Source organism: Homo sapiens, chromosome 14 (assembly GCF_000001405.40).
Source record: "Homo sapiens chromosome 14, GRCh38.p14 Primary Assembly".
NCBI classification, from domain to species: domain Eukaryota; kingdom Metazoa; phylum Chordata; class Mammalia; order Primates; family Hominidae; genus Homo; species Homo sapiens.
The window spans coordinates 65,788,124-65,791,397 of NC_000014.9; the positions used below are offsets into that span (position 1 = coordinate 65,788,124).

Consider the following 3,274-nt stretch of genomic DNA (forward strand, 5'->3'; position numbering starts at 1 on the left):
TCACTGCAACCTCTGCCTCCCGGGTTCAAGCAATTCTCCTGCCTCAGCATCCTGAGTAGCTGGGATTACAGGCACCCACCGCCATACCCGGCTAATTTTTGTATTTTTAGTAGAGACAGGGTTTCTCCCTGTTGCCCAGACTGGTCTCCTGGCCTTGGGTAATCCACCTGCCTTGGCCTCCAGAAGTGCTCAGATTACAGGTGTGAGCCACTACATCGGGCCTAGTCATTTGTTTCTATAAGAAAATAGAGTCTCTTCAGTGAGTGTTTAAAAAAAAAAAAGGGACAATTCCCTCTCTTCTGCAGACAATTATAATGACAGCATTATTAATCACCCACAACTTTATCGGGTTCTTACTCTACACCAGGCACTGTTCTAAGCCCACTCCATGTACTAAATTATTCAATCCTCACAAACACCCTATGAAGTACAGCCACGTGCTACACAGCAACGTTTCAGTCAATGACAAACTGCATATATGACAGTGGTCCTGTAAGATTATAATACCACATTTTTACTGCACCCTTTCTGTCTTTAGCTATGTTTAGATACACAAATACTATTGTGTTACAATTGCCTACAGGATTCAGGACAGTAACATGCTGTGTAGGTTTCTAGCCTAGGAGCAATAGGCTACACCGTATAGCCTAGGTGTGTAGTAGGCTATGCCATCTCGGTTTGTGTAAGTACACTCAGTGATGTTTGCACAACAACAAAATCACCTAATGACACATTGCTCAGATCGGAAGCCCGTTTTTAAGCAATGTGTGACTGTATGTACTATTATTCTCTTCCTTTACGCCAAAGAGAGGCACAGAGATAGATATGGGTTGAATTGTGTCCCCTGGAAAAGATACGTTGATGTCCTAACCCCCCAGTACCTCAGAATGTGACCTTATCTGGATAAAGGGGTATTGCAGACATAATTAGTGGAAATGACGTCATAGTAGAGTTGGGTTCATAACCTATTGTGATTGATGTCCTCATGAGAACAGGAGAGAGAGAGACACGGAGAATGCCATGTGGACAGAGGTCGAGGCTGGGTGAGGCAGCTACAAGTCAAGGACACCAAAGATGGCTGGCAGCCTCCAGAAACCAGGGGAGAGCCTGGGGCAGCTTCTCTCAGAGCCCTCAGAAGGAAACAACACCAACGCCAGTCTCATGTTGGGCTTCTGGCCTCCAGAACTGTGAAAGATTACTTTTCTTTTGTTTCCAGCCACCTGGTCTCTGGTACTTTGGGACGGCAGCCCTAGGCAACAATGTAGAGCTGTTAAGCCATGTGCCCACGGTCACACAGCCAGGTGGGCGACAGAGAGGATGCAGGCCCGGGGAATCTGGCCAGTGTTGATGTTTTGAGCCCCCTTGCTGTGGCAGTGCTGGAGGACTGAGGAGCCGCGAGGAACGTGGAGCCCTCTTCCCCTCTTCCCCTCTGCACCTCTCCTCCTCCCTTCCTCACTCTGGGGCGAAGGCAGGGAGATAAACATTTAACACGTGCGCAGGAAAATCTGGATTGGGCAACTCTGCTGGAGCCCATCCTCCCTCCCAGAAAGGAAGAGCCTGCCTCTGTCGCAGACAGATGGTCACCCAGCGTCTGCCTGAATGCCTGCTGGGAAACAGCGCTGTGCACGGGAGTGCAGAGGGGCTGAGTGCTGGACATGGAATCCTGATTTTGCCTCCCATTGGCTGGGTGACCTTGGCCGAGGAGCCTAACTTCCCCTTGCCTCAGTTTCCTCGTCTATAAAATGAAGACAATGAATCCTACCTCCCAGTGTCATTATGGTAAACGTGGCAGTGAAGGTGACCCCACATGGCCTGAAGCAGGCCCTTAAGGACAAGAGAGAATCAGCAGAGACCCTCCACTCTGTCGGTGCCCTCAGTGAGGGCCACAGGCCAGGGCCACTGGGCTTTTTCTCCACTCATTCCCTCCTTGGTTTTATCTAAGCCAGGCCAACTGTGTGGCATTTCAGGCTGTTAGTATGCACAGCCCTTCCTAAGCTTCCAAGTGGGATGATCTACATGAAAAATTAATTGTGTATTTTTTCCTTTTTTTTTTAAGTGGAGAAATTATTTAGGGCTTTGGGGAAGAGGGGGCAGCTATTTGCTATGCAGCAGCTCGTCCCCTTAGCCCTCACCCCTGCATGTTCAGCAAATGACTCTTCTATTCTCTTCCTGGCAGGTGGTCTCACAGCTACATGTGTTCCGTGCTTGCAGCAGGGTGCTCCAGGGAATGTGACATGGTGATGACTGCTGTTTCTAATTACTGCCCTATCAGGAGGCAGAGGAAGGAGCCAGCCTGGTGGGCCACTGAGGAAACGCTGACGTTCCTGATTGTCGGGTAGCTGGGGCTGGTAGGGCCTGGCTGATGCCTGCCTGGTCACTTGGGAGTGAGGACTTGCCTTTCCCCAAACAAACTCAACATCTGAATGATTGACAAGGGCACAGCAATCAATAAGTCCTTATTTCCTGAGCACCTAGTGTGCTCCTGGTTTTGTGCTAAGCACAGGGGCTGGGGACACAGATGCAAGCAGTAGCAACACACAGCGCCATCCTTTGGGAAACTTACATTATAGCTGGGGGCGAGGGCAAAATAAACAGAGGGAAAAAATAGCTCTATTCATTCACCCAATGGCATTTATTGGGAATGGCCTGATAGTATTTTTAACTATGTATTTACAAATACTATTGTAAAGGACCAGAATGTAAACTCCCACAGGGGAGTTTATAGTGCAATGGGAGAGAGGGACATTAATTAAATAATATCAAAAATATGTTGTTAAAAGCCATGGCCAATTCTATAAAAGTGCAGGGGCTATTCGAGTATAAATGGGGACCTGATTTCTTCTGGGGTTAGAGAAGGATTTCCGGGTGAAGTGCTATAATCTCTAATTGTGGAAATGGAAAAGAAGGTTGGCTTCAGGAAGTGTTTGGAGAGAATTGACAAGCTGTGTGGACAGATATAGGGGTGAAGGAGATAGATGCTAAATATGACTTTCTAGGTGCTGACCAGAATAACAAAATCAAAGGCGCTGCTGTCGGACAGGGCAGTTGGGGTGGAGAGCCAGTTTTGCACGGGAAGCAGCATGGAACATGCTGAGCTCCGCGGACCCACTGATAGACCAGAAGCGCTGTTCGGGGGTGGGGAGGGCTGGGCTGGGGCGAGGGCCTATTTGCTGCTGTGACTCTACAGGAACCAAGACTCTAGGGAAGTGGAGACTGGAGTAAGTTCTGAAGCGTGAGAGCTGCTCATAGTGAAGGCAGTAGATGGGAGATGGGG

At 48.9% G+C, this 3,274-nt stretch overlaps 1 long non-coding RNA gene across 2 annotated transcripts; it reads left to right on the plus strand.

Moving 5' to 3' along the window:
- Positions 1–740: 740 nt before the first annotated feature.
- On the plus strand, positions 741–2,607 carry LOC107984641 (uncharacterized). Of its 2 annotated transcripts, none has more exons than XR_001750929.2 (2): positions 741–1,779; positions 2,177–2,607. It is a non-coding gene; the product is annotated as an uncharacterized LOC107984641 (long non-coding RNA). The 2 variants fall into 2 exon arrangements; XR_001750930.2 differs by having other exon boundaries at positions 741–1,301.
- Positions 2,608–3,274: the final 667 nt, after the last annotated feature.